The following is an 18726-nucleotide window of genomic DNA, read 5'->3' on the forward strand; positions in this document are numbered from 1 at the left end:
ACTGTGGCTTTTTACAGCAAAAGGATGCAGGGCACACTCAGCAAAGAGGGAAGGTGTGTGGGGGAGACAGGCACAGGCTTCCAGGCCCCCCTCCTAGTGTAGTCACAGGGATGTGCTTTGTTTCCCCTGCAGTGAGTGTGACAGCACTGGAGGGGGTGTGACAGCACTGGAGTGAGTGTGACAGCACTGGAGGGGGTGTGACAGCACTGGAGTGAGTGTGACAACACTGGAGGGGGTGTGACAGCACTGGAGGGGTGTGACAACACTGGAGGGGGTGTGACAGCACTGGAGTGAGTGACAGCACTGGAGGAGGTGTGACAGCACTGGAGGGGGTGTGACAGCACTGGAGGGGGTTGACAGCATGTGAAGGGTTTTCCTGCAGTGAGTGACAGCACTGGACTGTGACAGCACTGCACCGTGACAGCACTGGGGGGGGCGTGACAGCATTGAAGTGAGTGTGATATGAAGTGTCTTCTACCAGGGGAGCTCCTTAGAGGCTGCATGTCCAGGGTTTTTATTGGGGGCTTGTCACACAGGCACCGTCTGCTCAGCACACCCCAAGATTCCAGACTCCCAGAAGGAAAGCAGGTATTCCACATCAACCACACTGTTTGCACAAAGAGCCCCTCTTAGCAGAGAATGGTGGAAACCCTTCCAAAACCCAGGTTCCCAGATGCCAGCGCAGGGCCACCCTTGCAGGCCTTCCTGCGGGTTTCAGCTCCAGGCCTGCCGCATGACCTGCTTTCTGCACTGGCATCACACAGGTTTATTTATTAGCACCCAGGTGGAGCTGAGTGCATGTCACAGGACCATAACTATTGACTAAACAAGCGGGAGACGAAGTGTCATAGAAACCCAGGTCAGGGCCACCCTCTGGCCTGCCTGTGGGGAGCAGTGGTGATGAACCTTTAGGAAGCAGGAGCCAGGCTGTGGTGGCAGCGTGTGGAGGACGATGGCAGCGAGGGGCCATCTCTAAGGTGGAAGAAACAGGGCTTGCACAGGGATGTAGGGCAGGAGAGGGTGTGGAGCTCCGTGGTGGGGGAGAATCTGTGGATGAGTGCCGTGGATGTGGCTGTGGTCGGGTGGACACCGGTTGAGAAAGGGGTTCTGGGGAACGCTTCAGGACCATGCAGACGGTCTTCCCCTTTTCGTATGAAGACGCTTTGGTGGAACGTGTCACTCGGTGAGCATGAGAGAATGTTCTCTAGTTCTCACACTGCAGGAGAGTGTGCTGGCAGGGCCACCATGTCCACTTCCCTGTCTCCCTGGGTCACAGAACCCCAAATTCAAGCTGAGCTGTCCACGATAAAGGTTGCATTTCCCAGCCTCTGCAGCAGTGGCTGTCGACCACGTGCCTACTTTCTAGCTCATAAGATCAAACCTGAACAGCTCTGGAAAGGCATGAAATGTGCTCTTCTTCATCCCTCAGCTGTGCCTACCAGCCATTGGGAGCACCAGCATGACAGATGCCATTACAGGTCGTGAGGCATCCCTTGAGGGAGCAGCCTGGTCTCTGATGCCCCAGGACCTCCCTGGCCCTCCTGCTCTGCGCTCCTTCCTGGGAGGAGAAATAAGCTCTTGTTGGGTTGAAGTCACTTGTCCCTCAGGGTTTTGCTGCTGTTACTTCCAGCTAAACCTACTCCCAGCTAATATTTACAACCAGAGCTGTTTCCATCACACCAAACTGGAAGAAATATGTCTGTGAAGGGAAAGCATGACCCACACTGATGGGAGGGAGACCCCAGGCTCCCTGTGGAAGCAAGAAATGGAAAGAGAATTCAATTCTTAGTAGCTACAGGCCAAGCTCACCTTCAGTCCTCCCTAAAGTGAAAATTTTATATGTGCATGTGTGTGTATCTGTTTGTGTCTGCACACATATATAAAGAGGTCAGTTCCTGTCCAAATAAAAAGGGAAAATATGTGGATTGAGAGGGGATTATTTAAGAGCCCATTCTCTGCAGAATGTTGTTTATAGCGCAGTTCTGACCTACCTTAGACTGGACATTATTAAAGATAACTGTGTTTGTGGGAAGATGGGCTTCTGCCCCCTCCTTTTCATTTAAAGAGAATGACTTTTTTTTTTTTCTTTAAACACTGGAACTGTTGTCATGCTAATCAGGCAGGGAACATTTCCAATTCAATTTTACCTGGGCCTGGTCAGCTGAGTTCCCCTTTGTTGGCCGTCTCTGGGGACCTCCCTTGTCTTTTAAACTGTAATTTACTTGAGCTGCCATCAATTTCCTCTGCTCATTACATTTGTGGCGATGTCACTGATATGCAATCTGTGGATGCTCCCGGAACCGAGGGGGAATGGCCGCATGAACCCAGAATGAAGGCGGAGCAGGCTGGCCCTCCGCCGGCCCCCAGAATAAACCGCCCTGGCCACATGCTCCACTGCCTGTCCAGAATCCTTGGCCTCAGGCTTGGTTTGCATTGAATCTGGGAATAGAAGCTTTTGCTTCACAGAGGTCTGTCAAGGGGCACCCGGCTCCTTGTCAATTAGTGATTTCCAGGAGGTGGACTGGCCCTGGTGCTGGCCCCCGTCCCCTGTTCACTCTCATCCAGCCTGGGAGGAATGAGATTCAGCCATTTTAAGGGTTTTATGATTAATTTTGATTGCAGTCACCAGTGACTGTGGATGTAGGCTGACGGAGCAGGTGTCAGTGATGCCCCCATGGCGTGAAGCTGGGCCTCGAGCAGTTGTCTGGTAACATGAGGCCACTGGGAACAGTTCCTGGTGCAGGAGGTAGTGATGCTGCCATCACCCCAAACGCCGTCCTCCGAGTAGCCCCTGACGTGACCCTGCGGGAGGTGTCAGCTGCGTGCCCCTGAGGCCCTGCACCCTCCACATTCTGGGCTGGCTCTCCAGATTCCTCCAGGCACCAGGGTGGCTTCCTGCAGGGAGGGTGGCGCGTTTCCTTTCCTGTCACCGACAACCCTGAGCTCCCGCCCTCCTCTCCCTTCTGTTTTCCTCTTCGCTCTTTCTTCCACACGTGTGGTCTCCATTCTTTTTCCTTTCTCTCCTGCTCTTGCTCTCCAGTCCCTCCTAGAGTTATTGTTGACAAAAGCCTGGTCCCCGTTAGTGTTTAATGGTGAGAAGGGGTCAATGCACTTACAAGCAGCAGCTCCAAACTTCATATACCCTGAAAATATCCTGACATATGGCCCTGTTCTCAGGGGCAGGCATGTTGGCTTCAAATATTTCTGATGTGCTCCTGAAGATGCTCCTGTTACATTCTTCCCGGAGTCAAATAACAGAGTTGTCAATTTACCCATTCACTGCTGCCAGATACATGCAAATGGATGGGATCAATATTCCACGTTAACCGTGCACCTGGGGGGCTCACCCCATCAAAGAGGCTGTGATGGGTCAGCAGCAGGCTGAGCACAGCATGGACCTGGACCCACCCCGGGTCCCAGTTGGCCCGCTTCCCTTGGCAGGAGGGCCCGGACACTCACATCTTGTCACAACCAGTGCTGATGGGTTTTCTCCCCACTTGAGTGCTTTTGGCATGGGATGATGAAGCCCCTAAGGTCAGGTATTTCATTTCTTCTTGTCCCTGGTGGCAAAGGACATGCAGACTGGGTGAGGTTGATACTGTTTTCTTGGTCTGAGGACATCCTCTTAATAAGTACACCTGTGGATTTTTGCCTAAGGGTGCATTTTCTAAATGCTTACCTGCCCAGCTCAGTTGACACTCAGACGGACCAGGTGGGTGAGCTGGTGACTTTGTCATTCACGTGCTCATGGCTGCCTGTGGCTGAGTTTCCCTCCCTCCAACCTGGAGCTCTGAAGCTGAAGCATCTCTGCCTGGCAATTTCCTGTCTGGGCATTGTGTAGGAGGCGCTTCCTAGAACAGGGTGGGCAGAAGGGCTTGGAAACAGGAGTGGCTCGGTCAACCGTGGACTAGAAAAAGCTGCATTTCCTGCAGTGGGGCTTGATATTGTGTAGGGGCTATGGGATGGTGGAGAGGGCGTGAGTCTGTGAGCAGAAGGCGGGGGACCTCCAGCTTTGCTCTCCACAGCTGTGTGAGCCTGCAGGGGCACTACCTTCTCTGGACCTCTGTTCTTTACATGGAAAACGAATGTTGTGATATCAAATGAATAATGAATGTGAAGGCGTGGGCACAGCTCCAAAAGCAATCCAGGGCTGGCCCTTCTTATGTAGAACACACAGGGCCCCGATATCTCACCGCGTATTTAGTGTGTAGCATGTTAACTGGACTTAAGTATTACTTATTTTGCAAGGAAAGTGTGCCCATGGCTTGGTCAAAATTCAGGCTGTGAGGCCTCCATCCAAGTTAAAAGACAGCCAAACACTCAGGGCTCCATCCAAGTCCCTCCTAATAACATAATGAAATAGATGGTAAGGAATTATGTTTATTTAATCGGTGTGTTGGTGGGGAGCAGTGCCATGTCACGACAGCTGCTTTTGAATCATCGATCTTCGCCGAGGACACCACACATTTGTTGCCAGTCAGCAAGGTGTGGCCTACAAGCATCTTTCAAAATATTCAAAACATTTCAAACCAGCCGGAAAGGTGAGAAAGTGGTCCCTTTGGGAATCCATTCCTAGCATGAATGCTTTCCTTCCATGCACGCTCAGATGGACACTCGCAGAACAGATCCAGGCTCAGTATCAGCCTCTGCTGGTCCCTTCTTGCTGCCCACATTAGCAGAGCCCATCTGCGTTCCTGGCGTGGACTTGGCCACCCAGCGGGGGCGGTGTCCCATGACTCTGTACATCCATAAGGGACATGGCATGGTGTGCAGCCAGTGACAGAAAGGACAAGCTTAGAGGTCAGAAGGAGCCCCAAGGTCACAGCACGACTACAGTGGTGTGAGGGAGAAGGGGCAGGCGTGGCCTTGGGAGGGCTCGGGGGTGGCAGGCTGGGTCTGTTCCTGGCGGGTGTGGAATGGACTTCCTAGTGGAGAGACAACCTCCCGGGGGTCGGGAGTGAACGTGGTGTGTCCAGGAACACAAGTAAGTTCTGTGGTGGGGAAGAAACAGGGAGCTGTGTGAGTGATGGGCAGGGCCAGTGGGGTGGAGGGTGACTCTGTGGCAAAGTGGAGTGGGTGGGAGGAAGCCCAGCAGGGGTCGGCTGGAAGAGCCAGGAGGACCTGCAGTCGACTTTCAGGCATCCGAATCCTATTTCCAGGAAAATTGCTCCAGTGATGGTGGCACATGGGGAGGGGCTCAGGGGAAGTGTCCAGAGCCGGGAACACAGGCCTGGAAGCCATTGCAGCCACTGACCAAGACGCAGGAGCAGGGCTTCATGCGGCTGGATGCAGGAGGTAAAGACAAGGGGCTGGGGGAGGGGGAGAGAGAGAGAGGCAGAGAGAGAGTGAGGAAGAGAGAGGATAACAGCAGTGGCAAGGAGGCCCTGCCTCCCTCATGTCTCCCACATCTTGTGCTTCCGTGGCCCCAGTCAGCAGGTGGGGTGCTGCTGATCCTCCTTAGGTGGGATGCATTTGAAAGTCGCCCGGAGGAAGCCTGGGAGGATCAGGAAAGGACCCTTCCCTGTGTGGGAAACACCTTAGAAATGCGAATTGAGGATGAGGACACTGGCATAAGAAATTATGGGTGGCATGGCCCCCGGAAACGCACTCTGCTTACACAAAGTACAGGGGGGCTTGAATGACTGATGACCTGATGCATTCATTGGTCAGCAGGCAGATTGAAAAAGAGGAAGTTCATTTGGCAGAAACCACGCCTGGAACATTCTAGATTTGTGGCAGTGTGATTAATATGTTTGGGGATAGCCTTAACTATTCATGGCAGGCCAGGAGTGGTGGCTCACGCCTGTAATCCCAGCACTTTTGGAGGCCGAGGCAGGGGTTTGAGACTAGCCTGGGCAACATGGTGAAACCCCATCCCTACTAAAAATACAGAAATTAGCCGGGCGAGGTGACACACACCTGTAATCTCAGCTACTCAAGAGGCTGAGGCAGGAGAACCACTTGAACCCTGGGGGCAGAGGTTGCAGTGAGCCGAGATCGCACCACCCCACTCCAGCCTGGGGGTGATAGAGTGAGACAATCTCAAAAAAATAAAAGTAAAAAAGAGTTCATGGCCAGTGAAAACAGAGTCATCTTTTAATAAGGCATTAATAACTTCACACCTTTAGCATTAAGTTAATGATTTATAAGTTATCAGGCCATGGCATTCAGGCTGATGTCTTTCTGTAAAGGGCTCCTCCTGGATTTCCATGTTTAACTCTTTGCTGATAGTTTAAAAGAAACTCTAGACTTTTCAGTGCAATAAGTCTAGATGTACCAGTGCAGGTGAGTGCACATCTCATCAGAAAGTCACAATCTCTGCGTACAGCAGGTGCTGAGATGCTGGGGAGAGACATGCTCCCGTCCTGCCCACAAGACTGTGCGGCAACACCTGCCTCACGTGGAAACTTTTCTTTTTGCTCTGAAATTGCCAACAGCATTAAGTCACATCATCTCAGCCACACGCGTTTTGGGAAAGAAATCTGGAAACCGTGAAAGCAAATGGACTGTTGTATTTACAGGTTGTTTATCCTGGTATCACAGGCAGGCTTTCCCTTTTGTCACCATAAAAATGAAACTCATCATGGGGAGACAAACAAAGACTCCTCATTAGTCTGAGCTTTCATCTTCCTCCCTGGGAAAAGCCCTGCCTCTCTTTTATTACAGACACTCTTGGAGACGTCTGCAAAGGCTCTTTTAATTTGAAGGTGGTTCAAATGTTGATCATTTCAATGAACTACTATTAGTATACTATTTGAAAACAATGACTGTTCTATTATTTTGAATATATTTGATAAATGAATTATTTCTGAAGTTACATCTATGTTCGGTGCTTGCAGAGATCAGATAATATATAACGGTAATGAAAAATAATGCAACAGGTTGAGTAAAGCAGCATTCACTGTTGGGCTGACTGACTTACTCTATCTTTTATATACTCACTTTGACAGTCCACTAGGGAGAATTAATTTCTGGCCTCAACACTGTCTCCAGAGCAAAATCATGTTGTGCTGGGGTCACATAAATTTAAACTACAGTTAAATGTAATTTAAAAGTCAGTGGTCTCAATCATTAACGGTGGCTCCCCGAATCGTTCCTATAACCACACATCATCTACTCAGATTTCTTCTTTTGTGAGTCTTGCCAACCATGACAAATGTTGACTGGGACCTCTGTGGCCTCGGACACCACATTTGCTCTGCCAGAGCTGTGACTGCTGGCTACAGAGCCAAGTCCTGCAGGTACAGAGACGCCTGTGCCCCTGCGGCTGCCACATCTTCTTCACTGGAAGACGCTGCACCTGTCTCCCAGGAAAAAATTGCAATAAAGACTGACTCTTCTATTTTAATAATATAATTAGTAATAATCCATTTAATAACCCTGGATTAATTAAATTTTCTTCTCATTCCAAGAAAGTTCTGAAGAAGCTAGTTCATCACTCTAGGGGATGACTTCCTTCTCTTTGCCATGATAGTTAGGCAGAACGTTTGAAATCAGTCCTGTTTACGCCTCTCATTTTCTCATCCACGGCTCAAAAAGGAACCCAGGACCCGAGAGAGAAGGTGTGTGCTCATACGCGCTTGACATGGCTCCCCTCCTCCAGATGCCTCTCCTCTCCACCAGTGCTGCAACCTAGGAGAAAAGGCCTGGCAGCCCAACTCCATCGGCATTCTCTTTCCATCGGGAGTCTTGTGCATTGGGCATCTCTAGAGCTGGAGAACCAGACACAGCCTTGTAATAGCTGACTTAAGCTCAGGAATCATTTTTGCTACCTCCTCCCGAGTGTGTCTACCTGCCCAGGCAAGTGAAAAACCCAAGGCAGTGGGCTCCATGGCCTTGGTCAAGGTCACTCAGTAAGTCCCCTTGGACCTTTGGATGCCCTGACTCCCTGCCGCACACTGAGACAGCCCTTCACAGCCCATCCCATGCACCCACAGGGGAGGTGACGGAGACAACGGAGAGCCAAAGAAGGCCAGACCCCATACTTGGCTGTTGCATTGCGATGCCTCCATCGACACGTGATGACGCGCAGCGGCGACACAGTCTCACAGCGGAAATGTCACAGTGCCCCCAGGGGAGCTGATGGAGACAACAGAGAGCTGAAGAAGGCCGGATCCGATACTTGGCTGTTGCATTGCGATGCCTCCATCGACACGTGATGACGCGCAGCGGCGACACAGCCTCACAACGGAAATGTCACAATGGAGGGGAGGTTGTTGAGGGGCTGGGGCTCCCTGGGAATCTGTTCAGAGAGGGGTGTGGTAATTTTGTGGGCCTTTTAAAATCTTGTTTTGGAAAGCTAGCTTCATGGGGATTTATTTCCCCAGCTAAAACATTAGGTCCCTGAAGTCAACATTTCATTTGTAGGGTTGCTAATTTTACAACCTTCTTTGGATGCTGTTGAAGTATCACCTGTTGGCCCTGGCACATGGCTTTGTGTGGGAGTTCAGCTGGTAGCATTCCTTCTTTTCTACACAAGGAAAAGCAAGAATGATCTTTATCATGACTATAGGTTTCACTATTCCTCGTCTAAGCAGAGGCGGATGTGACATTCCAGATGGGTGCTAATTTGAACATCAGGAACATGGGTTTCACAGAGAAGAATTCCTGGCGGCATCTGAGGAGCTCTCAAATTCCTCTGCCCTTTTCAAAAATCCCCTCAAAGGACTGTCACAGTAGCTTGTGTGTCACCAAAACAAACTAACTCCTTTAGATTGAGGTTCATAACTCTGTGTGACTTGGGCAAAAAGGCTAATAACAGATCCTTTAAAGAGGGCAGCAGTGCCTGACGGTAAAGACCTTTGTTAGGGTGACTGGTCCGAGGCTGCAGGTGTCATTGAGGTGTCTCTGATAACTTTTAGATGAAGCTATGACCCTGGGCCACACCGTGTGGATTGTTGGTGACTTGTCACATTGATAACACTGTCTTTATATTATGTATAGTCTTTACTTCTACCTACCATTTATGCCAGGTCATGTAACAGCCAATGATTGAGGTTTTTCCTTATACAACTTTTTGTTTTCCCTGGAGTTAATAATTGTTTCATTCAATTTGCTTAAGTTCCTGCATATTTTTTACGAATTCATCCTTAAATTCTTGGAATTTAAATACAAAATATTAGATCAACTCGCCCTCTCATCCCTTCTCGGCGATGCCACCGCGTCCTCCTGGACTGATGCTGCCTCTTCTGGACCGGCCCTGTCACTGCGGACGCCCCTTCCTGGAGCATCCTGGGATGGCTGAGCCACTCCATGCCCTCGACCTCATTTCCTTGATCTACCTTTGTTCGGGCAATGGGACTGAGGCTGTAGTTGTCACTGGAAGCGTGTCTGATAACTTTTAGATAAAACCAAGCAGACCCCGTCTCGCCCACTCATAGTTTTGCCTGCCTTTTGGTGAATTAGAGACTTCACTAACTTTCTGAAGAAGGCGTGTGTGGAAAATGGCAATTTAAATCATGATCTTACTTCCTACTTTCATGCTGAATTGGGGGGTTTGGTTGGGGATAGACAGTTAAATCTGGAATAGTTCCCCTCAGGTTTTGAAGGTGTGGTCCTCATTGTTGAGGCTCCAGGGTGGGGCGATGTCACGCCATTGTGACTCCTGGTCCTTTGTGATGGACTCTTCCTCTCCCCACTTCCCTTGGAAGCTTTTGAAAAGGGTTTTCTTTTGCTCTCAGTACCTAGAAGCTGTAAAACTCTGGTCTTTCTTATTTCTATTATTTATATGTGGGTGAACCTTTGCAGCCTAGGCACTCACATTCTTCAGTCTGGAAAATTTTCCTGAATTCTTCTATAAATTCCTCATCGACATTTTCTTTATTCCTTCTCTCTGAAACTTGTACTAATCAAATAGTATCTCTCTTGTATAGATCATTTAATGTTTAAAATTTTATCTCTGTTTTGCATCTTGTTGACTTTTGCTCTAATTTCTGTATAATAGGATAATAATTTTTCTATTAAAATTTTAATTTCAGTCATATATTTTTAATTTCAGTTATCTTATTTCTAAGAACTCATTTTTTTCCTTTTTTTAAAATTATACTTTAAGTTCTAGGGTACATGTGCACAACGTGCAAGTTTGTTACATATGTATACATGTGCCATGTTGGTGTGCTGCACCCGTTAACTCGTCATTTACATTAGGTATATCTCCTAATGCTTTCCCTCCCCACTCCCGCCACCCCACGACAGGCCCCAGTGTGTGATGTTCCCATCCTGTGTCCAAGTGTTCTCGTTGTTCAATTCCCACCTATGAGTGCGAACATGCAGTGTTTGGATTTCTGTCCTTGCAATAGTTTGCTGAGAATGATGGTTTCCAGCTTCATCCATGTCCCTACAAAGGACATGAACTCATCCTTTTTTATGGCTGCATAGTATTCTTTGGTGTATATGTGCCACATTTTCTTAATTCAGTCTATCATTGATGGACATTTGGGATGGTTCCAGGTCTTTGCTATTGTGAATAGTGCCACAATGAACATACGTGTTCATATAAAGAACATACGTGTCTTTACAGCAGCATGATTTATAATCCTTTGGGTATATACCCACTAATGGGATGGCTGGGTCAAATGGTATTTCTAGTTCTAGATCCTTGAGGAATCGCCACACTGTCTTCCACAATGGTTGAACTAGTTTACAGTCCCACCAACAGTGTAAAAGTGTTCCTATTTCTCCACATCCTCTCCAGCACCTGTTGTTTCCTGACTTTTTAATGATCGCCATTCTAACTGCTGTGAGATGGTGTCTCATTGTGGTTTTGATTTGCATTTCTCTGATGGCCAGTGATGATGAGCATTTTTTCATGTGTCTGTTGGCTGCATAAATGTCTTCTTTTGAGAAGTGTCTGTTCATATCCTTTGCCCACTTTTTGATGAGGTTGTTTTTTTCTTGTAAATTTGTTTGACTTCTTTGTAGATTCTGGATATTAGCCCTTTGTCGGATGAGTAGATTGCAAACATTTTTTCCCATTCTGTGGGTTGCCTGTTCACTCTGATGGTAGTTTCTTTTGCTGTGCAGAAGCTCTTTAGTTTAATTAGATCTCATTTGTCAGTTTTGACTTTTGTTGCCATTGCTTTTGGTGTTTTAGTCATGAAGTCCTTGCCCATTTTTTTTTTTTAATGTAACTTTTGGGTATTCTTGTTACCAAGGTGCAGCATCTTCTCTTTTCTCTGACATTATTAATGTTTCATTATTTTAAAATTTGCTTAAATTTTTTCTGATCTCTGCCTAGGTTTCTTTCTGCTGTTTATTCTTTTTGTTTGTTTGTTTGTTTTGGTCTCTTTCTTACTAGCAATGTTTCCTCAAATTCCTGGTGCCTTTTGACTGCCAGGCATGTTTAAGGGTGAGAGGCACCAAATGGCAGTGCTGGGGGGCTCCAAAAGCTCGTGAGAACTGACTGCTGGGTTTCCAGGACTTTTATGAGCCCCTCGTTGTACACAGTTATTATTAAAATTTTCTAAATGCACACTTAACTGATATGAAAAACAAAGGCAACACATTCTTAAAACTTATGCTAGTGTGTGTGCTACACCTTACTGCTGTTCATGCTCCTGGGGTGATTAGATGTGTTATGTGGCACCTCTGCTGCATGCATAACGGCATGCTCTTGCACTCCTCCCCTCCCCTCCCCTCCCCTTCCCTGCCCTCCCCTTCCCTCTCCTTTCCTCTCCTTGGCATTTAAGAATGTCACAATGCTGGCTTGAAATCAACCACTCTGGAAGTATTTGCACCCTGGAAATTGTCACACACTGTCCCATAGGGCTCTCTTGACCCTCTGTCCCCCATTGCAGAAACATTTACTAGAACGAAGCCTCGGTAACCCTCTTCTTTCAATGAGAACTGGCACTCACTTATCAATAAGAATCATTTCAAGTTGTTTTCCGAATGTAGAAATGGATTTGCATGGATCAATCCCATGACCTCAGCCTCAGCCGCTGTTCCAGAACCCGAAAAGAGACACTCCCTCTTCATCAAACTTTCTCACCAAGAAGGCAGCAATTCTCTCCCTCACTGAAACTCACTTTCCTCCAGTGTTAGGTCTAAACAAAGGCCAAACTGTGGGCTAATGGTCCTTCTGCATTTCACAAAATGATTGTATAAAACTATTCATGTTACAATTTTGAAATGACTACTTACCAAAGAAGAAGGCTATTTCAATTGAGCTTTGACTTCTCAGGGGAAATGTTGGGTTTTAGTTCTTCGGTGTGCACAAGAAACTATAGTTTCTGTAGACTGTCTTTTAATTTCTTCTATTCTTTTATTTGGAAATATTTATAATAGTAGTTGACAGCATACCCTGTAAAAAAGTGTTTAATATTTGTTATACAAGGAACTATAGCTATACATACCCACTGCAAGATGACATTTTAAAGCATTCAGATGGAATCTATAGTTAAGACACAAGACATTTTTTTATTATATTTTGATTTTCTTAAAAAGTTAAAAATTAAATCATATACATATATCAACTATAACAAAACTATATTTTCTACGCTCAATATTTTAGTCTGAAAATTATGACATTGTGAATAGGAAAAAATATAAACAGCCAGAATAAGACAATCATGAAGAAATGAGATAACAGTCTTCAGATGAAACAATTAAATATGAATTATGACATAATTACAGACGCCCCGATGGGTAAAGAAGAAAGCTACTGATGATATAATAGTGTTGTCTGAAATGTCAACTGCTGTTTAGGCTAAAAATACATTTATTCCATTGCAAATTCTTCTATTTTGTTGTTTTTAAACTTTCTCAAAATGTTCCTTTAGACGGGAGATTCTATGCTTCAATTAGGTCAAAAGTAATAATATTGAAAAAAGTTTAATCAAAGTTCCAGTGGATTTTTACACCAGAAGGCATTCCCTTCAGTGCCCTGCTTCTAGACATGGAGACGAAGAATTCCTTACATGTTAGTTAATTTGACCATCATATCAAAATATCAACAGAATAAAATTCCAAATCCTCAGTAATGCATTTTTAAGTGGTAGGTATAAAAATTATTTCAAAATTGAAAACATCGAGTAGACTGTATCAACCTGTACAGGACTAGCTCAACTATTTAGGTTTTAACTTTTTGTGTTTTTTTAAATTCCCATTCATTCAGTAGTAAATACCATTACTCTACTAGTCTGTTCTCATATTGTTGTAAAGAACTACCTGAAACTGGGTAATTTTTAAAGAAAAGAGGTTTAATTGACTCATAGTTCCATAGATGAACAGGAAGCATGGCTGGGGAGGCCTCAGAAAACTTACAATCATGGCAGAAGGCAAAGGGGAGGCAGGTGCATATTCCACATGGCCAGAGCAGGAGGAAGAGAGTGAAGGGGGAAGTGCTACACACTGTGAAACAACCAGATCTCGTGAGAACTCACTATCACCAGAACAGGAAGAGGAAACCTACGTCCATGATCCAATCACCTCTCACCAGGTCCCTCCTCTAACATTGGGATTATAATTCGAGATGAGATTTGAGTGGCGACACAAATCCAAACCATATCAATTACCCAGGCAATGAAATCACAAATTTAGATGGAAAGCTTAGTTTCTGAAATTATGTAGCTGGAAGCTGAGGGAAGAATCTGGAATGCACGCACATAAACATATACACATACATATATTAACATATATATACAATGTATATATACAGAGATAAACATTAGCAGAGATAAACATACGGAAGTATGCATATACACAAACATGCATAGAAGCACACCCACAGTCATATAGAGACTGCAGAGCAGTCAGCTCGGTGCGCCTCATAGCTGTGCCACCACACATGTTTTATTACAGCAACTTTGGCCTCCAACACACAACAACACAATTAGTTTTGCACCCTCACAAGGCAATGCTTTGATTAAAATCTGGCATATCACATTATTATAAGGTATTATCTGCATAGATGTTGCTGCTAGAAGTCTTGTGAATGGTCCCGTTAATAAATATGCCTAACAACTGTGCCCTTTGCTAACTTCAAAAGATGAAGGGTAAAAATGTATACAACGGCTGATTCTGGGTCTTTCACTTGTAAACGTACATGATCCCTTTTTAAAATAAAACTTATTTTCTTATATTAAATGTAATTCTGGTTATGTTACAAATGAAGTATAGCTTGGCAGGAGCACTCCTCAGTGATGGCGGACACAGCTGCAGCATACAGCTAGAGTAAAGGTCTGTTTCTCTTTCTGTGATTGTCACTCTGCAGTGCTGAGATCCTCACTTTGGTGTCCTGGTTTCTTCTTAGAGCGTTATGGAATGAGCGCATTCCAGGAGACGTCTTCCCATGTCACTAAAGCTCTCGGTCAACCATGTTTCAGTGACTGGAGAACTTTCTGGATGTCGTTGCAGTGGAATTCCCTTATCCCAGCTTTATGACTGGGCACTCAGTCGCTTAACGTGGTTTGTGGTACTATAATCATCTTACAGCGAACCTCTTTGAATCAAGGATTATTTTCTAAGAGTGGATCTTCAGAAGTGAAGCTGCTGTGACAGGAGATATGAGCACGTTCAAGGCTCCTAACACTTTACCAAGTTGCTTTCCCGAACAGCGAAGTCTGGGGGGTGCCTCGGTTGGCCCTGTGTGCGTGTGCTCTTCCTGCACTTGCGGGACTCCAGCTGCCTCAGCCCCAGCGTTCGCATGCAAGGGCCAGCCTCGGTTTCTCCTGACCCAGGTTTGTTCGTGGGTGAGGTGTCAGGAGGGCACTTTCCTATGTTAGGGTGATAGTACCTCTTTCAAGCCCCCAGAGAGCTAGGTGCGATTTTTCTCAGCCTGCTGCCCTCTGTGCCCAGTGAAAGCTGGGGCTCCCCTGGGTGCTTACTTTCTTGTATCATGTCTGGTTTTCAACTCATGCTCCTACTACATTTGTTCAGTTTTTGGATTTTTTTCCCTATTGATATGGTTTGGCTCAGCGTCCTCACCCAAATCTCAACTGGAATTGTAATCCCCAATGTTGGAGGAGGGGCTTGGTGGGAGCTGACTGGCTCATGAGGGCAGATTTCCTCCTTGCTATTCTTGTGATAGTAGACTGTATCAGCCTGTACAGGACTAGTGCAGGTTCTCCTGTGCGGGACTAGTGCAGGTTCTCCTGTGCGGGACTAGTGCAGGTTCTCCTGTACTAGTGAGTGAGTTCTCCGGAGATCTGCTTGTTTACAAGTGTGTGGCACCTCCCCCTTTGCTCTCTTCCTCCTGCTCTGGCCATGTAAGATGCAGCTGCTTCCCCTTCACCTTCTACCATGATTGTAAATTTCCTGAGGCCTCTCAGTCATACTTCCTGTACAGGCTGTGGAACTGTGAGTCAATTAAACCTCTTTTCATTATAAATTGCCCAGTCTCAGGTAGTTCTTCATAGCAATGTGAAAACAGGTGAATACACCTATCATTCAGCCTTTATTCCATCGCAAATTGACCCAGCTATGAAACTCAAGCCCCCCTTTGACTTCCTAAAAACAAACAAACAAAACAAAACACACCCAGTCATCCCCTCTTAGTAAGAGCAGAGCAGACCGGAGGTCTCAAGTGGCTCTGGGGCTGGCTGAGCGGGACCTACCCTGAAGCCAGGTACTGCTCCTGGAAGAGCTCAGGGTGGCCCTCAGCTCCCATGGGTTCTCATCTCAGTCCTCCTTCCCTGGAAGCCTCTCCTCCTGGGGCCCTCCATAGACTCTGATTCCCTCTCACTCCTATTCCACAGGGCTTTAGCATGTTCTGCTTTGGTTTCATTGTTTCATAAAATAAATAGTAGGCCTTGGGGGAGGGTTTTTTAAGCACGATGTAGGCAGATGCTGAGGCAGAGTGTGGTGCGGGGAGTATGGTTGGGGAACCAAGGCTGCTGAAGGCATGGAGGCTCTAGCTCTCCTGCCCTGGGCTTGGAAGTGAGCATAACACCTTGTCAAGGACCAGGCAACCTGGCGAAGGCAGAGGGAGGATTCACAAAAGCATCGAGATTGAGTGCCATGGGGTCTCAGGACTGTGGTCCTGTCTACACTGGACGATGGGACTCTGGGCCTCCGGAAGGCGGTGACTGCAGTCCTGTCTACACTGGATGTTGGGACTCTGGGCCTCTGGAAGGCTGTGACTTCAATCCTGTCTACACTGGATGATGGGACTTTGGGCTTCCGGAGGGCTGTGTCTGTGGTCCTGTCTACACTGGACCATGGGCCTCTGGGCCTCTGGAAGGCAGTGTTGGGTCCTGGTTGTGATGCATGGGCTGAGCAGATCCCATTGCCTTGCAATGTCTCTGCATTTTGTGTGACATTAGCTGAGGTGTTCAGTGGGGTTAGGATGCAGGGGACAGCACACTCCACAGGAGCACCGCTCATAATGGTTTATGATGATGGAGCTGGCTGCTTTTCATGTAATTACAGTCCTCACTTATTCATTATTTTTGACTTAGCTAGATCTATACTTCAAATAGATGTGGGACGTAATATGTGAATATTGTGTATGTATAATGTGTGCGTGTGTATCCACCCACATTCAATACCTATGCAGATAATACCTTATAATAATGTGGTATACCAGATTTTAATCAAAGCATCCCTTTGTCAGGGTGCAAAACTAATTGTGTTGTTGTGTGTTGGAGGTCAAAGTTGCTATAATAAAACATCCATCTTGGAGCTTTTTAGAGGAACCTGTTTAAAAAGGTTAAAGTGGGTAATTATCACATCCTAATTTACAACTACTTGGCAATAAGAGTTGCTTTTCAACGAACCATTCGTTCATGATTCTCTGCTCCACACTGCAGGGTTCTTCTTGACTAGGTTAGAAAATGTAATTAATAAATGATAGGATTATTTATGGTTCACGGTGCCAGACTGGGAAATACAATGATATACAGAATGAGCTAAAAATGATTCTCAAAAGCAGCCTAGCCGTCTTTAATCCATGGATTGAATCATCATCGCCCTCAAGGAAGCAAAGTGAATTCTGGACGGAATTCACAGGACACTGTTTCTGCACCTTCCTCTTTTTAGTTCCAATAGAAAACAGCAACAGTCCTTCCACAGCAGAGTTAACGTGCAGTTGTTCATCCTTGCTGGGGTGTGCCTGGATGGGTTTTTTAGCAGGGCCATGGGAGCAGGGGCACTCATATGATTGTGTAAAATAGGGATTCTCTCTGAACGATGACGTAAATTAGGGCTCATAGTAAATCATAGCAAGAAAAGAAACGTGATGAACTTGCCCGGTGTGCCCTCACATTCTCAAGTCAAAACATGTTCAGTCTATGCTGCTGTTTTTTCTAATAGTGATTTTTTTGCATAAAGACAAATATTAATAATGTCATTTGTTTTCCAAGCCTCTCCTGACACTGCACATAGGAGGCACTTAGTAAACAATGGGTATCGTTGAAAATCGAGGCTTGTTTTAGCCAACATCAGAATGCAGAGTGCTGGCCTCTTTCCTCCCCGGGCTGTCTTGAAGGCTGGAAAGCAAGCCGTGGGGTTTGCATATTTCTGCTTGGCCAATGCTGGGGGTTAGCACCTGCTCCAAGACGAGCACGGCCATGGAAGCTACAGCAGTCACTGTGATTCCAGCTCATCGAGTTTCTGGCGGGTGCCAGGCACATTGCTGTGGGCTTTCAGTGAGTGGATCCTTACCCTGCCCTGAGAGGTAAACAAGGCAATTCCAAAATCCCAGGTGAAAAATTCAGTTTTGAAAATGAAGTGATACGTCCGGCCTGTGTGGAACAGGGTAAGCCAGGGCTCAGAACGGGAGGCAGTGATGCCGTCAAAGCTAGGATAAGATGCATTGTAATGGGCGAGCCAGCCCTGCACTAAGCACTGCTTCATGCGTTTTACAAGGTCATCTGCACAGCTACCCCATGGACTCATTTACTTCTCTCCCTCTCAGTTTCCATATTTGTAAAATCAGGAACTTCATACTGCCTACCTCCCAGGGTGCTTGTGAGGCTTAGCTCAGTCAATAGAGAAAAGCACAGGGTGGCGGCGCCTGTGTGCGGCTTGCTCTACTCAGTTTATGTTTGCTGCGTAGCTGTCTCCATTCCTATTTATAGGTGGGAAAACTAAAGCCAGAGAGCGGCTGTACCACCAGCCACAGGACACACAGTGAGCAACGCGTGGCTCCGTGGCACCACTGCCTTAGCCCACGTGGGGGCCGTCACTGTGCTAAGCCCTGCTTTTCCTGCATGGCCAAAACTGAACCTTCCCCAGTCCCAGATGAAGCTGCATTTCTGGGAACCAAAGCTTAACTGCGTCTCCCTTTTCACATTTGTAAAATGGGGATGATCATAGCATTGACCTATGTGTGTTATTATATGGGTTATTGTGAGGGGAGGCATGGGGAGAGGTTGATCAAAGAATACAAAATTTCAGTTAAAAAGAAAGAACAAGCTTAAGAGGTCTATTGCGTAGTAAATAACAACATATTGTTTTCTTGAAAATTGCTAAGAGAATAGATTTTATCTATGCCGTTTTTATCATAAAAAAGACGAGTATGTGAGGGCATGCACATGCTAATTAGCTCAATTTAGCCATTCCACAATCTATATGTACTTCAAAACTGCATGTTGTACATGATAAATACATACAATTTTTATTTTTCAATTAAAAATAAATTTAAATAATAAACCTGCACATAGAATTTCAAAACAACAACAACAGCAACATAATGCCCTAACTCTATTATAAAAGAGAAATAAAAGGAAGGTAATTTAGCACAGAATAATATGTATTTTCCCATATAAATGCTTGGCGTGGCTCTGC

The 18726-nt window shown here is 46.2% G+C and overlaps 1 long non-coding RNA gene across 1 annotated transcript in view; it reads left to right on the forward strand.

The window, feature by feature from the left end:
- Positions 1-938: 938 nt before the first annotated feature.
- Positions 939-18726, forward strand: part of LINC02337 (long intergenic non-protein coding RNA 2337) — a 46071-nt gene continuing 28283 nt past the window's right edge. Inside the window, exon 1 of the long non-coding RNA NR_135814.1 lies at positions 939-977. This is a non-coding gene — a long non-coding RNA (long intergenic non-protein coding RNA 2337). The remainder of the gene's footprint in view (positions 978-18726) is intronic.

This window comes from Homo sapiens, chromosome 13, assembly GCF_000001405.40.
Source record: "Homo sapiens chromosome 13, GRCh38.p14 Primary Assembly".
NCBI classification, from domain to species: domain Eukaryota; kingdom Metazoa; phylum Chordata; class Mammalia; order Primates; family Hominidae; genus Homo; species Homo sapiens.